Source organism: Homo sapiens, chromosome 15 (assembly GCF_000001405.40).
Source record: "Homo sapiens chromosome 15, GRCh38.p14 Primary Assembly".
NCBI classification, from domain to species: domain Eukaryota; kingdom Metazoa; phylum Chordata; class Mammalia; order Primates; family Hominidae; genus Homo; species Homo sapiens.
This window is the reverse complement of record NC_000015.10, coordinates 70,288,654-70,305,252: the sequence shown is the minus strand read 5'-3', so window position 1 is coordinate 70,305,252 and position 16,599 is coordinate 70,288,654. Positions and strand designations below refer to the sequence as shown.

General features: G+C 45.3%; 1 long non-coding RNA gene across 1 annotated transcript, besides 5 other annotated features; it reads left to right on the top strand.

Annotated features, from left to right (window-relative positions):
* Positions 3,558-4,059: an enhancer, noted in NCBI's record as "H3K4me1 hESC enhancer chr15:70593533-70594034 (GRCh37/hg19 assembly coordinates)". NCBI's record gives its function as "activates a minimal SCP1, AML or CMV promoter by ChIP-STARR-seq in primed H9 embryonic stem cells {active_cell/tissue: H9 hESC(primed)}" and the evidence as "EXISTENCE:reporter gene assay evidence [ECO:0000049][PMID:30033119]".
* Positions 4,255-4,354: an enhancer, noted in NCBI's record as "active region_9685". NCBI's record gives its function as "activates an Ori minimal core promoter by ATAC-STARR-seq in GM12878 lymphoblastoid cells {active_cell/tissue: GM12878}" and the evidence as "EXISTENCE:reporter gene assay evidence [ECO:0000049][PMID:35858748]".
* Positions 4,375-4,444: an enhancer, noted in NCBI's record as "active region_9684". NCBI's record gives its function as "activates an Ori minimal core promoter by ATAC-STARR-seq in GM12878 lymphoblastoid cells {active_cell/tissue: GM12878}" and the evidence as "EXISTENCE:reporter gene assay evidence [ECO:0000049][PMID:35858748]".
* Positions 4,665-4,794: an enhancer, noted in NCBI's record as "active region_9683". NCBI's record gives its function as "activates an Ori minimal core promoter by ATAC-STARR-seq in GM12878 lymphoblastoid cells {active_cell/tissue: GM12878}" and the evidence as "EXISTENCE:reporter gene assay evidence [ECO:0000049][PMID:35858748]".
* Positions 7,367-9,191, top strand: LOC105370878 (uncharacterized). Its single transcript, XR_932424.3, has 2 exons — positions 7,367-7,455; positions 8,930-9,191. It is a non-coding gene; the product is annotated as an uncharacterized LOC105370878 (long non-coding RNA).
* Positions 12,298-12,797: an enhancer, noted in NCBI's record as "H3K4me1 hESC enhancer chr15:70584795-70585294 (GRCh37/hg19 assembly coordinates)". NCBI's record gives its function as "activates a minimal SCP1, AML or CMV promoter by ChIP-STARR-seq in naive H9 embryonic stem cells {active_cell/tissue: H9 hESC(naive)}" and the evidence as "EXISTENCE:reporter gene assay evidence [ECO:0000049][PMID:30033119]".

Genomic DNA, 16,599 nt, shown 5'->3' with positions numbered 1-16,599 from the left:
TCCCTAGCAAGGGACAGAGCAACATGGTTCCCTTCCTGATACGATGCACTGAGAAGGACACAGCATCATTTCTATGGCAGCCTGCCAAATTTGCATAACCGGCAATTCTGAATATAATTTAGAGGAAACATCATCACACGGATCCATATTGAGAGACTTTTTACAAAATGTTCTCTTCGAACATGTTAAGGCCATGAAAAACAAAGGAGGGCTGAGAAACTGTTGCCAATTAAAGAGGACTAAAGAGACACAGAAACCAAATGCAAGTGTGATCCTAGGTTGGATCCCAGATTAGAAAAAGGTTATTAGTGGGACAGTTGGTAAAATCTGAATAAAGTCGGTAGTTACTATTGCAGCAATGTTAATTTCTTGACTTTGACAATTGTGCTGTGATTATGTAAGAGAATGTCCTTTTTCAAATAAAAACATGTTGAAGTATTTAGAGGCAAAAAGACTTCTGCAATTTACTTTAAAATGCTTCAGGAAAATAATACACACATATGTATACATGCATATATGTATATATACATATTTGTATAGGTAGACATATACACACATATACATATATATGTAGAAAGAGAATTATAAAGGAAATTATTAAGCAAGTGTGGTAAAATGCTAACATTTGGGGATTTCTTTGTATATTTTTGCAAAATATGTAAATCTAAAAGTATTTCTTATAAAGTTTAAAATATTAAAATTAATAGAAAAAAGTTAATAGACTGTACTTCTCTAATGGGTAATTCAAAATGGCTTTGTATTGGCTTTCTCATTAGAGCTGCCCTCATGCAGGATCACAGTGAGGCCTGGACATGGCCATCAAGGTTAAGGGATAGAGAAGAAAGGTGCAGTGGTGTCCGCGCCTGCCTCCTCAGTGCAGCCATGGACTTACAGGGCCAGCTTTGGTCCAGTGGGGATGGGAGGAGGGGTCTAATCTCTCCTAATTTTTCTCTCAATACACTTCCTTCCTGGAGGAATCAAAGAACCCAGTCAGACAGGGCCTGTGTGGAAAGGTGGGGCTGACCGCTCTCTCACAAGTCATGATGCACATGCAGCCAACTGGGCGCCAAACGGGGGCCTGGGCCACAGTGGGGACAGGTGTGTGGGGTCAACTTGGCCAGGTCCAGTCCTCAGAGACAGGCAATGGAGGCCTGCGGTGGAGTGGAGGTGAGAAGCCAGCAGTCTGATTTCCACTCTGCTTTGCACTAGCTGGGTGTCCTTGAACAGAAAGAAGCCTTAACAGCTCTAGATCTCAGCTTCCTCATTCATCAAGTGGTACCAATACTTTGTGCTATGCCTTCTCTTAGAGGTGGCTCAGTAGGGTCTGAGGAATGGGGAGGTACTCTGGAAACGTCATATGGTAAAGTCATACTCTAGGCCTTCAAATGAGCAGGGAAAACAGAAGCTCAACAGAGGTAGAAGTTCACTTTGGTTGTCCTCTTACTCATTTACTAATCCACCTATCCACTTATCTACCTATCCATCTCATATTCACCCCTTCACTTATCTACCCATTCATCTCATATTCACCCTATAGTCATCTACTCATTCATCTTATATCCATCTTTCCATTCATCCACTCATCTACCCATCCACTTCATATCCACCCATTCATGCATCTATCCATCCATCCCATATCCACCCATTCATTCATCTGCCCATCCATCTAATATTCACCCCTCCACTCATCTACCCACTCATCTTATATCCATTCATCCATTCATCTACCCCTCCACTTCATATCCACCCACCCACTCATCTATCTGTCCATTTCATATTCACCGCTCCACTCATCTACTCATCCATCTTTTATCATCCATCCATTCATCCACTCATCTACCCATCCACTTCATATCCACCCATTCACTCATTTATCCATCCATCTCATATCCACCCATCCACTCATCTACCCATCCATCTCATATTCACTCATCCACTCATCTACCCAACCACTTCATATCCACCAATTCACTCATTTATCTATCCATCTCATATCCACCCATCCATTCATCTGCCCACCCATCTCATGTTCACCACTCCACTCATCTACCCATTCATCTTATATCCATCCATCCATTCAGCCACTCATCTACCCATCCACTTCATATCCACCCATCCACTCATCTATCCATCCATCTCATATTCACCCATCCACTCATCTGCCTATCTATCTCATATTCACCCCCCACTCATCTACCCATTCATCTTAGATCCATCCATCCGTTCATCCACTCATCTACCCATCCACTTCATATTCACCCATTCACACATTTATCTATCCATTTCATATCTACCCATCCATTCATCTGCCCATCCATCTCATATCCATGGTCATCTACCCATTCATCTTATATCCATTCATCCATTCATCCACTTATCTACCCCTCCACTTCATATCCACCAACCCACTCATCTATCTGTCCATCTCATATTCACCCCTCCACTCATCTACCCGTTCATCTTATATCCATCCATCCATTCATCCACTTAGCTACCCATCCACTTCCTATCCACCCACCCACTCATCTACCCATCCATCTCATATTCACTCATCCACTCATCTACCCCTCCATCTCATATCCATCCATCCATCCATTCATCTGCCCATCCATCTCATAGTCACTCATCCCCTCATCTATCCAACCACTCTCCAACCACTCATATCTATCCAACCACTTATCTACCCATCCATCTCATAGTCACTCACCCACTCATCTATCCATCCGTCTCATATTCATCCATTCACTCATCTACCCATCCATCTCATATCTATCTATCCATCCACTCATCTACCCATTCATCTCATATCCACCCATCTACTCATCTGCACTTTCATCTTTATATCCATCCATCCATCCATCCATCCATGCTTTGATCCAACATCTATCCACCCATCTATCTATTCTGCATCATTCTGTTATCCTTGCATCCAGCTATCCAACAATCATCCATCAATTCATTTATTCAACATCCATCTACCCTCTGTCCATCCTTTTTCTTACTCACAAAACAGTATCTTGAGCACAGCTGGTACCAGAAACACCCAGCTAGATTCTGGCATTCAATGATAAATAGAACCATATGAGACTAGTAGCTCACAGTCTAAAAGAACAGAAAGTGTAAACTAAAACAATACACCAAAAACTACTATGAAGAATAGATAAAGTGCTATTGGAACTAGAGGTGGGAGTTGGCATGGGGGCAGCACCACTGAATTTAGTGACCTGAAAAGGAAAGCTGGAGGGTTAGTGAAATAATAGGCTGCAGACCAAGGGAGCCATGGCTGCATGTTTAAAGCCACAGCATGGCTTGGGGTATAGGGTAGGTCCCATTGGAGAGGACACAGTGAGTGGGTGGTGGGGCTGGTGAGGCAGCCAGGTGAAAAGCAGGTGAGGCCTGAGGTTACCATAGGCAGGACTTATCTGACTGGCCTCAGCAGTGCCCTCCCAGGTTGGCCATCTGTCCCTGGAGGGGCACAGCTTGGCTCCAACTCCCCCATGCCCTGGCAAACCAGAGTAAAACTGCTCAGTCCTCATGCGTCTGGAGTGATTGGAGGCCCAGCCTGTTCAGCTCCGAGTTAGAAAGCAGGGTTGGCCAGGAGGCTGCCAAGGCCACCAGGTCAGGGCCAGGGTGGGGCTGCCCAGGGAAGGCAGGAATCAGAGATTTGTGTGGCCTGCTTGGAATTCTTGGTGGTTCCCTGCCTTGGGAAGCTGCCCCTGCTCATTTGCTGACTGTGGCAGGGCGAGGTCCACGCCCCAGGAAATTGGATGTGGGCTCAGTTACCCAGTGGCTTCCTAGCTGTGAGAGGGAGGGCAGGTCATTTCGCTTCCCTGAGCTTTGCTTTCCTCATCTGTGAAAATGACAAGAGTGAGGCAAGATGGCTCTGGGCTCTTCCCAGCTCTGGTAGTTCCTAGGAGACTGACACTTGTGTGCAAGTGTGTTTTGTGCTCGAGTCTTGCCTTGCACAGAGGCTCAGGGGTCAGGCATCCCCCCACTGAGCGATATGACTCCCTTCTTCTGGCAGGCTTCTCTCCTGGGCCCCCAGATCTTCTTGGGAGTGGTGACACCTTAAGCCATGAACCAAGAGCAGTCAATTCTGTCTATTGCCCTCTTAGGTCTGCGCAGCTCTGCTGTGAGAGGCTGAGCAGGTGTAAGGAAGGCTAGCAGCTGGGAGCAGGCCCCAGAGGGAATGGGGCTTGCTGGGACAGAGACTTGAGGAGGGAATCTAAGGAAGAGCCAGAGGTCTCAGAGCTGGAGGAGAGGGCTCAAAGGGAGGGGAGTGGGACATTTAAGGTGACATCTATTGGAGCTGCCTGAGATAAACTCTGCAGATTGTATGGTTGTGCCAGAGGCCTGCCTGGGGCCTAGGGATGCTGGTTTGGGGATTTGAGTTTGATCTCCTGAAGTTTATTTTAAACCTAGCTACTGGCTGAGGCAGCAAATGAAAGCAACAGAAATCCTCAGTCAGCAGCTAATGAAACATGCACCACAGCCACCCGCCGTCGGCAAGCCCTCCTGTCTGACACCTGTAACCACTTCATCTTCCGGCCATGAGTCTCTCACCACTAAGCCAGACAGTCCTGCCCCGCAAGGAGCCCTGAGAGGTGTCACCCAGTCATAGCTGGTTTCCATCTGAATGTGCTCTGCTGGGTCCCAGAGCCGTGGGCTCTCTTCCATCTCTTCTCTCTCAGCTTCCTCTGGGCAAGGCCTCAGGCAGCCATCTCCACAGCCAGTCAGTGATGTGCTGGGGCTCCAACCAGACCTTCCTATGCAGGGTCCCTGGCCCTTCCTTGTGCCGTGGCTGCCTGGGAAGCAAGCTTTAGTTCTAGCGAGAACAGAGGTTTGTAGCTTAATGAGCACTTACTCGGGCCAGGTGCTATCTGAGTGGTTTCTGAGTACTGCTCTATTCTATCCTTGTAAGAACCCCATAAAGTGTTTGCTTTCACTATTCCTATCTGTGAGGCTAGTGTTATGTGTTGACGTGGCCAGGCTAGAGTCCACAGTTACTCAGTCAAACACTAATCTAGGCGTTGCTGTGAAGGATTTTGTAGACATGGTTAACACCTACAATTACTTGACTTTAAGTAAAAGAGTTTATCATCTGTAATCTAGGTGGGCCTGATCCAATCAGTTGAAAGGCCTTAAGAGCAAAATTGAGGTTTTCCTGAGGAGGAAGAAACTCCACCTGTGACCCATAGCATTAGCTTCTGCTCAAGAGTTTCCAGCCCGATGGCCTGCCCTACAGACCAGATTTGCTAGAACCCGTGATTATATAAGCCAATTCCTTGATGTATATCATCTACTACTGGCTCTCTTTCTCAGATAGAACATTGACTAATATACCATCTAACAGCAACTGGGCCAGTGTGACACAATTAGTAAGCGGGGAGCCAGGGTTCAAATGGAGGCAGCCCAATCTCTGAGCATGAATTCTTAACCTCTGCAACATACTATTTTTTAATCAATATTAGCACATTGCATCCACAGTTTCATTTTATTGATGAGACTTAGAAAGGTAAAATAACTTGCCCAAGGTCACACAGCTTATAAATGAACGCACTGGAACTCCAGCCCAGGTTTGTCTGATTACAGGCCTGGGCACGCTCCACTATTCTCCGTGGTGTGCTGGTAAGTGTTATCAACTGGTTCTCCAGAAACAAATATATGTATACATATATACACACATAAGTTAATATAAAGTTTATTGCCATCAAGGATTGTAGCACACAATTTACAACTAATAATAAAATATACGTATTTTTTATTATCAATTTTATCTAGTAAATTGATTCTCACAGGATGCTTTTGTTGATACTTCCTAAACTTTTGTATCTATAGTTAAATTATTATTACAATTACCAAATAAGTATAGTTCCTGTGTGAATGTTTGCTGTTTTCTTTTACATTAATAAGTTTGATAGGAATGGAGCAATGGAGGCATGAATTTCATTCATTTGGCAATGACACAAGTGACTTATTTGCTGAATTAAAGAATAGTTTTTGAATATTGGAAGAATATGTCCTCAATTCTTTTTCATGCTATTTACAATTAAAGGCTACCAGCACAACATACTTTTAAGTATAATCTACATTAACATTTTCTCCATTATTTTCTTAACTCTAGACTATCAACAAAACAATAATCAGGCTCTGATTTGTAGCATTTGTCAATTTGTTTGATGTAAATATTCCCACCATCGCTGATTTCAAGCCACCAACATGAGTTACTGCAGGAGGTGTTGAACAGAGATGCTCAGTAGCGCACCTTCATATGGTATTTCTGCCATACATATACAATAGATGTAAACAACCTCAACAGCATAGGTAATTGAAAGATGGGATAAATAGGAAGTGATGAATTTTTGGCATTCATTAGCTTTGTTTTTGTTATAATGTATTTAATTGTAAATTTGCCTAAGTTAATTTTTAATAACTGTTTGACAACCAGCTCACGAAATTCCTGAAATTTTACCAGTCCGTTCATGAACCCGTATGAGCTTCTCCTGCACACTACTTTAAGAAGAGTTCAAGGGCTTTCTCTTTCTTGATCTCCAACAGGCTGTTGGTTATTTTCCCTCTGGAAGGACCTCTTGTGCACCTGTCCTATTGTCATTATTTCTTTCCATGTTTGTCTGTGCATCAGAGTAGTTTGTTGAGGGCTGAGATTATAGATTATAACTCATTCATCTTGGTAATGGCCCAATAAACCCATAAAGTTTTTTGATCAAATGCATAGGTCAGAGATTTTCAAATCTTATTTCCAAAAGCCCAAGAATTCTGCAGAAACATCTCTGGGGTCCCCACAAGCTGACAGGAAGGCTGGAGTAGCAATGCTCCAAAAGCCCAAAGAAAGTGCCACAGAAAAGAAGCAATCAGCAAATGAGAAGGAGCTCCTGGAAATGATTATTGCTAAAAATTATTTTAAAAAATCAATTGAAAGCTTGAAATGCAAAGTTAAGAAAATCTCCCAGAACATGGAGACAATGGCATAAAGTATGGGAGGAAAAAAATATTCAAACAGGATCAATTCAGGAGGCCCAATATCCAACTAAGAGTAGGAGTTCCAGAACAAGAAAAGAAAGAAGATGGAGGGGAGGGAATTATTGCAGAAATAATTACATTTTAAAAGTCCCCAGAGCCAAAAAGGGACACCGAGTCTTTAAATTGAAAGAGCTAAGAGAATATCAAGCAGATATAGAATTGAGCAATTTAAGAATATTAAAGATTAAAGCAGATCCTGGATATTTCTATGGAAACTAGAACATCAGCTCACAAAAACCAGAACATTGACTCTGACAAATAAACCGGAATAAGGGTGACATCATAATACTCTATAGCAACGATAGAGGCCCAGAGAATAATAGCCAACACTTAACATGACGCCCACGATGTGCAGGCACTGTTCTAAGCATTTTACATATGTAAACTGGTTAATCCTCATCACAACTCCATGAGGTAGGTACTATTTTTATCTTAGCTTATTTATGAGAAAACCGAGGCACAGAGAGATTAAGTGACTTGCTGGGTTCTAGGAAATGTAAAGTTAAAATTTAAACCCTGGCAGCCTCATGCCAGAGATCGGATTTTAACCTCATCACTATATTCCATCTCTAAGTGCTAAGTCTAAATGGCTTTGAACCTAGAATTCTACAGACAGCCAAACTATCAGTCAAGGGTAAAGGAAAAAAAAAAAAGTTATATTCAGCCATTCCAGGACTCAGAAATTTACTTCTCATGCTTCCTTTCTGAGAAGTTATTGAATGTATATTTCAGCTTAGAAACCATGAGGAAGAATGTTACAGGATAAAAACTGGTAGAATTAACTCAAGGATCTAATAATGTAAAGGAATTCCAGAATGACCTGTGTGCAGCAGGTCCAGGAAACCCTTTGAACAAACAAGAATAGAGAATCAGGGACCCAGTAGAATGTCAGGAAAGAAGAGAGGAATAGATTCTGAGAAATATACAAAAAGAGGCTGGAAGATATTAGGAATATGGTGAAGAGGCCTGTGCTTCTTTCCAAAGCAAATGAAATAATCAGAAACACCAAAAGAGAAGGAGGAAGAAAAAAACCTTTGATAAGAAGTTAATGCAGCCTGGGCAACATGGTGAAACCCCGTTTCTAAAAAGATACAAAAATTAGCTGGTAGTGGTGACACACGCCTGTAGTCTCAGCTACAGAGACTGGGGTGGGAGGATTGCTTGAGCCCCGGAGATAAAGGCTGCAGTGAGCCGTGATTGTGCCACTGCACTCCAACCTGGGCAACAGAATGAGAACCTCTCTCTCTCTCTCTCTCAAAAAAAAGAAGTTAATGGTTCAAATATAAAGCAAACTAAAATTTGACGTGATTTGGAAGACTTGGTAGAGAGTAAGAAAGGACAATTCTCTTACTGTTGATGCTGGAAGCATTTGATTATTAGAGGCACAGGAGTAATGATATTGTAACCATAGAGAAGGAACTATGATCACTCACAATACACTCCTTGGGGAACAAAGTCACATAATCAACAACATAAACACTGAGCCTCATTTTCATAGACAAAATAGGAAAGGCTTAATAATAAGGACAAAATAGAAGACAAAGATGAAAGAAATAAGAAATTGGGAGATAGAGGTGGACAAAGATGGGGGGAAAATAGGAATACTAATATTCTTATCTTACCGAATGGCTCCAGAAATAGAGGCCCAGAAATATTATTTACATATGCAAAGTTAAACAATAGAGACATTAAAATAGGTACAAAAGTAGCACACATTGGGCAGAGGAAGGGAGCTAGAGATGGGGCGTATGAATTAAGTCCTTCTCCACCGTGGCTGGTCATAAATGGATGATGTGAGGTTGACTGCACACCCTGAGTTGCCCAGGACAGGCTTATTTTATACTGTTGTCCTGTGATTATTAGTTCTGTCTCTTTTCACTTTCAACAGTTTCCTGGTTGAAGGATTAATTATCTGCTACCTGATCTAAAGTTGATAAATGAAAAACATCAGTATTAACACATGACATGGAAAAAACACCAGAGGAGAAAAAACCACCAAAGGAAGAAAAACAAAAACTGTGAACAGTGATGTCTCACCGGGGGTGGGAGCACAGCAGCAGACATTTGTCAAAACTCACCCAACTCTATAATTTAAATGTGTACATTTTATGGTATATAAATGATTCCTCAATAAAGTTGATTAATCCAAATATAGTGGCCTTCAGAGATGGCAGGGGTGAGTGAGAAGCCACTTTTTATTGTTTGATTTTGTTTAAATATGGATTTTTACTTTAACAATGTTTTTTAAATTTATATTTAAAACGATATTAAAAAACAGAGTTTAGGCCTGGCATGGTGGCTTACGCCCGTAATCCCAACATTTCATGAGGCTGAGGCAGGAAGAACACTTGAGGCCAGGAGTCACAGACCAGCCTGGGTAACATAGAGAGACCCTGTCTCTACAAAAAATAAAAATAAAAATAAATTAACTAGCTGGGCATAGTGGCATGAACCTAGCTACTATGGAGGCTGAGGTGGGAGGATCGCTTGAGCCCAGGAGTTCAAGGTTGCAGTGAGCTATGATTGCACCATTGCATTCCAGTCTGGGTGACAGAGTAAGACCCTGTCTGTGAAGAAACAGTGTTGTGTGGGGGTGTCGTGTTGGATGGAGCTTAAGGCTCTACTGGCTTGGATTCTTCCTGAGATTTCAGGTCAGAATTGAGGAGCAGGATGTTTCCTCCGAGCCCCTTTTTACTCTTATGGACAAGAGGGATACTTGAGAAATGAGAGTGCTGGTTCTTATTAGATTTGCCTGGGTAGCTAAAACAGTTACCAACACTGGGATCCACCCCCAAGAGTTCCTGATTTCACTGGCGTTTGAAAAAGCCCTCTTGGTGGCTCTAATGGGCAGCCTGGCTGAGGACTACTGAATTTGGTGAGGGAGCCCTGGGTGGCAAGGCATGAGAATTCAAGATGGGAGGATGGATAGGTAAGGGGTAGGAGTCACCTAATCACATTCTCTCCCTTTACAGTGGGGAAACTGGCCCAGTGAGGGAAAGGGTCTTGCCCAAGGTGGGGTGGCAAGTCAGTGGCCCCTGGCTGAGGCTAGAACATGGGCTGCCTGACTCCTGGCCTTGTGCTCATTTCTTCACACCTCGAGGGTTCCATAGGCTTGACTTGGGAAGGGCAGTAATACACGTGCAGGGGTTTGCTGAGCACCCGCTGCCTGCTAGGCCCTATGCTAGATGCTGTGTGTGGCTTCTCTCCTTCAATCTTCCTGCCACCCTGTAACTCCTGTCTCCTATGTTATACTTTAGCTAAGAGCTGCTTAGAGAAGTTAAATGACTCACCTTATTTTGTGCCATTCTCATTAGGCTTTAACCTAATATTTCTCAACATGTGGCTCTAAGAAATATTTTTCTCTAAATTTCTTGGAATGCTTATTAAAAATGCAGATCCCTGGGCTGCACCCTAGACCTGTGGAATCAGAATTTCTGGAGGTAGGATTCAAGAAAGTACATTTTAACCAATATTCTTAAGCCCACAAACAATTGAGAGCCACCACTCCCAGGAGCCTTCTTTGCATCACTTGAGCAGACCAACCCTTCCCGCCCCAGGGCCTTTGCAACTACTGTTTCCTCTGCCTGCTGAACAACCTCATCTGCAACTCACTCTTAAGTCTAAGCTTTCCCTGGGATGTCTTTTGACTCTTTAGACAAGGAAAGGTCTTCCCATTGCACGCTCCTTTGCACAGTAGATGTTTCCTCTGTGGCACTTACTACGATGGTAACTTACAAAACAACATGTGTGATGTTTTGTTTCATGTCTTTTCCCTGCTACACTACGAGCCTCATGTCCATTGTGTCCACTGGGTTGCTCACAACTCCTGGCCCCATGCTTGGCACCCAGCAGGGGTTAAACAAGCAGTCCGGTTACACAGCCAGAGACGAGCAGAGCCGGGATTCAACCCCAGACCTGTCTGATACCGGGTCTACTTCTAAACCTGCATGGTGGACTGCCCCAGAAAAGCAACGACCCAGACCAGACATGAGGGTCCTAACCAGTCGCTCATTCTCCAGCCCCCTAAGCCACTCTGCTTATTCACAACTAGTAGTTCCTTTTGATAAATACTGATAACCAATAATTAAGGGGCCATTGAGAGCTTGGATCTTCCCCTACAGGCACAACACCAGGCACTGTGATATCAAAGCACAGACAAAATCAAGTTTCATGTCCTGGCAATTACTGCAAGCAGTCCCAAACAGCCAGACACACTGCATAAGCTCAGTGAAGACCTGAGTCTCTGTCCTTTCAGATGTTCTGATAGCATCTTGAATGAAAGTTCCACCTGGGCCCAGCGTGCAATAGTAATAGTAGTAATGGATTCAGACAAATGAGAATTTACCAGGTCAGTAGGCCTGGCCTGCCCCTGCCCCACACCCACCCCCAGGCTCATTCCCAAGCAGAGCATGACAGGCACTGGGATTTACTCAAAAGTTTGCTCTAGTCCTGGTCTGGAGAAACTCTCTGTGTTCAGGCATGCCAGAGACCAGAAGTGATCTAAGAGGTGCTTAACAAGCTGTAATGCGTGTCAAGAAAAACTGTAAAAGACTAAAATGGTGGGAAAAAAGAAAGGGAAAGAGATAGACTACTGGATGTCCCAGCGTACCCTTCTGGGGGTTTTGTTTTTTCTCAGTCTTTCATTATCTGAGCTATTTTACAATTCTGCAAATTGTAAAAAACTGATGGTAATGCAAATGATTCTTGTCCATATAAATATAAATTATGTCCAATGCAATGCAACTGATTATTGCCCTATAGATTTTTTTTTTTTGCCAGTTTTGCATCTGTTTGTAAATTCACTTCAGATTCCTGATGACCTATATTATGTGTCTACTTTTGCATTCTCCTTTGAATTGATTGTAACATCTTAGTGGTTTCCTCATTAATGAATGAGTGAAATAAAACTTTTGATCCAGGCTCATTCTATATCTGTATGAGAGTCATGATTATACCTCCTTTTGATTCTTTTCCGTGTACATATAAATTACCTGAAGATCTTGCTAAGGCACAAATTCTGATTCAAGGTCCAGAGTAGGACTTGAGAATCTTTCTGCAAGCTCCCAGGTGATGTCCATGCTGCTGGTCCACGGATGCCACTTAGGTGTTAAACTGTTCTTGTGGTAATTCAACTTAAAATAGTGATACAATGTTTCTGAATAAATAAATTATTATCTATACATTAGGTTTTCTTCATTAGCATAAGGAATGTTAAAAGGTTTTTTTTTTTTTTGTGGAATTATGTTGTAACAGGACATGCTGTCCTTGGATAAATAAGTTATCAGAAACTGGTCAGGAGATCTCTGGCCGTGGATCCCAGCACTTCCCCAGGGTCCCATCACCTAATCGTCAGTGTGAATCCACAGGTCTGCAGAGCCCTCTGCACATTTCCATGCCCTGTGGGCTCACATGCTTCCAACTCTGGACTAACCCCATAAAAGGGGCTGGAGGGCTGAGGGTGGCCATTAACTATGCAGGGTTCCCCTTCAGCTTGGGCTTGGTCACCTCCAGGGAGGGGGAACTCACCACTCCCAAATATTCCTGTACCTCTCAGACCACAGAGACTAGGTGCTGGGGGATCCCCTGGGATCCTGGCCAGTCCGTCTTTGAGCCAGGAGCCCTCCAGTAGACAGGTCTGTGCACGGCGGAAGGTTCCCCGGTTTATGCTGCTCAGGCAGACAGACACCTGCCCTTATCCTGTCTTGCTTCCTGCCACACAGGCTCGCAGGGGAAGTCCTGGAGAAGCACCTTCTAGGGCAACATTTGAACTGCTGCACATCAGTGGCCTCTGCTCCTGGGGTGGCAATTTTGGGCACTGCCCATGCAGTTTGCCAGGCTCTGGGTCTTGTGGGCCATTCCTGCGGAGGATCTGGAAAACGTCACACCAACTTTCCCCCTTCACTGGGCCTGGGAAGAAGTGACGTGTCAATTACCCGATCATTTGGTCTGGATCCAAGGCACAAAGATTAGAACGCAGAAAGGACTGCAGTCCTTAGAGTGCTGGCTCCAATCCTCCCACTGCCCTGGGCCTTGCGCAAAGCACTTTCTCTCTCTAAGCCTCAGTCTCCTTGCCTGTACAATGGGGAAAACAAAATTCAGAGCCTAGGCTTCGGGTGAGGCCAAGAGGCCAGGGTGCAGGTGAGCATTCTGGCAGAGTTCCTGCCACCCAAAATGCTCTTCCCATTTGGAATGGCAGGCTAGATCTCCTCTCTCAGGTACCCCCCGCCAGCCCCTAGTGCATGCCCCTCCCTCACAGCTCACCTGGCTCCACTTTCTCATAGCAGTCATCGCTGAGATTCTTCCTTATTGTTTGCTTTCATTCATCTTACCTTTCCTCCTCCCTGGGGGCAGGGACCTTGTCTGTCTGCTCCAACTTTGGACTAACCCAGATTTGGGGCAGACAGTCTGGCTGTGTCCCTGCCCCCAGATCAGCGCTAGGTGTGCAGAAGGTGCTTGGGGAGCCCCTGCTGCATCGATGAAGGTGTCTTGCACCATGCCTTAGCAGGGCCACAAAAAACATGAGTTCTTTTCCCAGGACACTTGGCACACACTGCAGTCTCCTCCCTGTCTTCTCCCCACCTTAAATCCAGGCTCCAGGAGGGTTTTCTTCTCTCTGCCAAAGCAAACAAAGAAAAACAATTTTCCTGCCATTCATAATTGTTCCATATTTTTCTAATAGGCCTAAGCCTGGCCTCGAGATTTCCAGTCACGGGTCATTCGCTGTCTTGTTGCTCGCAGAGCCACAGAGGAGAAGGCTGTGGGCAATTAGTGTGAAAGCTGCCTGCTGCCAGCAGCCCTGCCCGCTCGGCAGGAAAAGGACATGTCTGGTACCACCAGCATCTGCCAGGGGGTGGCTGGGCCTGGACCCCACATGAGCCAGTTCATGTCATTCTCACAACCCTGTGAGGACAATGTTATTCCCCCATATTTCTGATGAGGAAACTGAGGTTCCTATGGTTAAGGGTCTTGCCCAGTCACCTACTGATGTGACAGAACCAATGTCTGAGACCAGGTCTATCTTGTGTCACTGTCAGGTCCTAGAAATAGAAGAGGCAGAAGGGAAGGGGTTGGGGGTCACTGTTGACCCTAATGGAGGGGACTCCCTCTGACTGATTTGACAGATAAAACTGCAACCAAGCGTCCCCTGGGGCCTGGAACAAATCACGCCCTCGGGCGTTGGTAGCCTCTATTAGATGCAAGGATCCCTCAACAGCATTCCGCTGCTTATGGGATCAAGTCCAGGGTCCTTAGCTGGGCAGTGAAGATACTCGGTAATAAAGCCATAGCCTGCCTTTCCAGAATTCTCTTCTCTGACCACAGGCTATGCCCCAGACATGCCTTGTATTCCTCAGCCCCTGCCCTCAGCCTTGGCTCCCTGCCTGAAACACCCATCAAAATCTGGTCCATCCTATCAGGTTCAACTCAAATCCCTACCCTAGAGCCCCTTCCTTGAATCCTCAGCAGCCCTATGAAGCAAATACTATAGCTGTGCACATTTTGCAGATGAGGGAACTGAGGATGGATGTTGTGTCTTGCCTGGATCCACACAGCGAAGTCAAGGAATCTGGAGGCAGCTGAATTTCTCCACCTCACTCCCCTTCTACTCCCAAAGACTCTTTCTCCCTGAGGACAAAAGGGCATGTGTCAGGGTCTGCTGTCAGAACAGACCCTAAGAAAGGTGGCTCCTCCTGGGCTGGAGGTTGCCGATGAGACCTACAGGTCCTCAGACCTGGGGTGATCTCCTGGGGCCTATAAGCCTATCCCTGCCTTCGATGAGAGAGCAGATGATATGCTCTGATCCGGGGGTCCGACATATCCTTTTTCTATCCCAGTGGGAGTAGAATCCTCCTAGCAAGGGGACATTTGATATTCCTTTGTTTGTATGGGGGTTGGATGGAAGAGAGCAGGAGAAGGGGTTGGGGAGAGCAATTTGGGGTGGTTTCAGCCACGTCTGTTCCTGCAGGAGGTCATTTGCTCACTTAGCAAACAACACAGTGGACTCTGCCGGCTCCCAACATGGGACTGGTTGTCCATACTGGCCTGGGTGCCCACCCTGCTTCTTGGCTCTTCTCCTCCTCTACTTCCCTTCCTGTCTCACCCTTGCCCTTGAAAAGGTTGGGAACTTCCTCTTCAAACACCTCACCGTCTCTCTCTCCCTCTCCCCTTCCTCCACCAGTTCTGTCTTCAGCTTACAGAATCTGCCTCCCCCCATTCCGAAGCTTATCCTTAAAGATCTGCTCCAGCCTAGTTTGGACTCACTCTCCTGCCCCTCCCACTAGATCGTTGAACTTTACAGCGCAATGCTTAACATGGAGGAATGTGTTGATAATGGTGGAATTTGGGGCATCTGGGAGCCAGACTAGTAAGCACCATTTAGCCTCCCAGACTCCAGCAGACCAGGAATTTGGCAGTTTAGGAGACTGCAGATTTATTCTCCGTACCTAGAGGCTAAAGGAAGGCATGTCTTCTTGGCAGCATGCAGGTTTGGCGACTTCTCAGCTCATGGAAAACTACTGGGGCTGAGACTGATGGGGCTTTGGCCTGGACCTCAGTGGAGTGCCAAGACAGGTGGAGCAGAGTGGCCCCAGGCATTCAAAGAGTCACACCTCCTCTCTCCCCTGCTGGCTGCCTCTTCAAGGCAGGCAGTTGACAGAAGAGCAGGCACCTTGGTAACTAATATTGTGTAGCAAGGGTGGCAAACTCACATGCCTTCAGGAGTGAAAGTGTGGAGCAGGCTGGAGTAAGTAACAGGGAGTGGTGGGGACTGGGGCAACTGGAGAGTCCTGATGTGTCCGATGTAATTCAAATGCAAATCAATGTTCTGGCCCTCAGGCTGACCGTTTGCTAACCTCTGCCAATGCATTACCGGTTCCAAAGCTCTTTTCCTCATGGTTTCATTGAATTGTCATTTCCTTTCCTGCTTACAGTCACTATCCTCACTTGGCAGATGAGGACACTGGACCTTAGCAAGGCGAAGACATTCCCCTGACTCATTCCAGGCAGGGATCTATGGGGGGGGGGGGGTGGCTTGAAGACACTCAAAGAAAGGTCTGTGCCCCCAATTCTCTCTCCATGGTCAGATTTGGAGGTTGACGTATAACTGTCCAACTCACCCATTGAGACTGTGCTGTGTTCTGACTTGGGCTTCTCATTTAAATGATCCTCCCCGCTCCTCCACCCTACCCAGTGTAGTCACTGACGGGAGAGAGAGGCCTGAAAAGGGGTTCTGAAGTCTGGAGGATCAGGGGCCTTTGACAACCTTGCCAGCCCTCAACTACAATGCCTGCCCTAGTCTGTTGAAAAGTCACAGGAAAGAAAAGTTAGTCATGGAGACACTGCCTGGGGGTCTGGATTCAGACTCACTGGAATATATTTTCTTCCTTTATCACAATATCGTGATTTGGAAATAATAATAACTGCTACATGCTTTACCTGTAGTAACTCATTTAATCCTCACTACATAATTCTGTGAGGTAGGAGCTGTTATTATTCCCATTTTACAGATGAGAAAACTGAGGCACAGCTCATGCTTATACAGAATTTGGAAACTCAACAGGA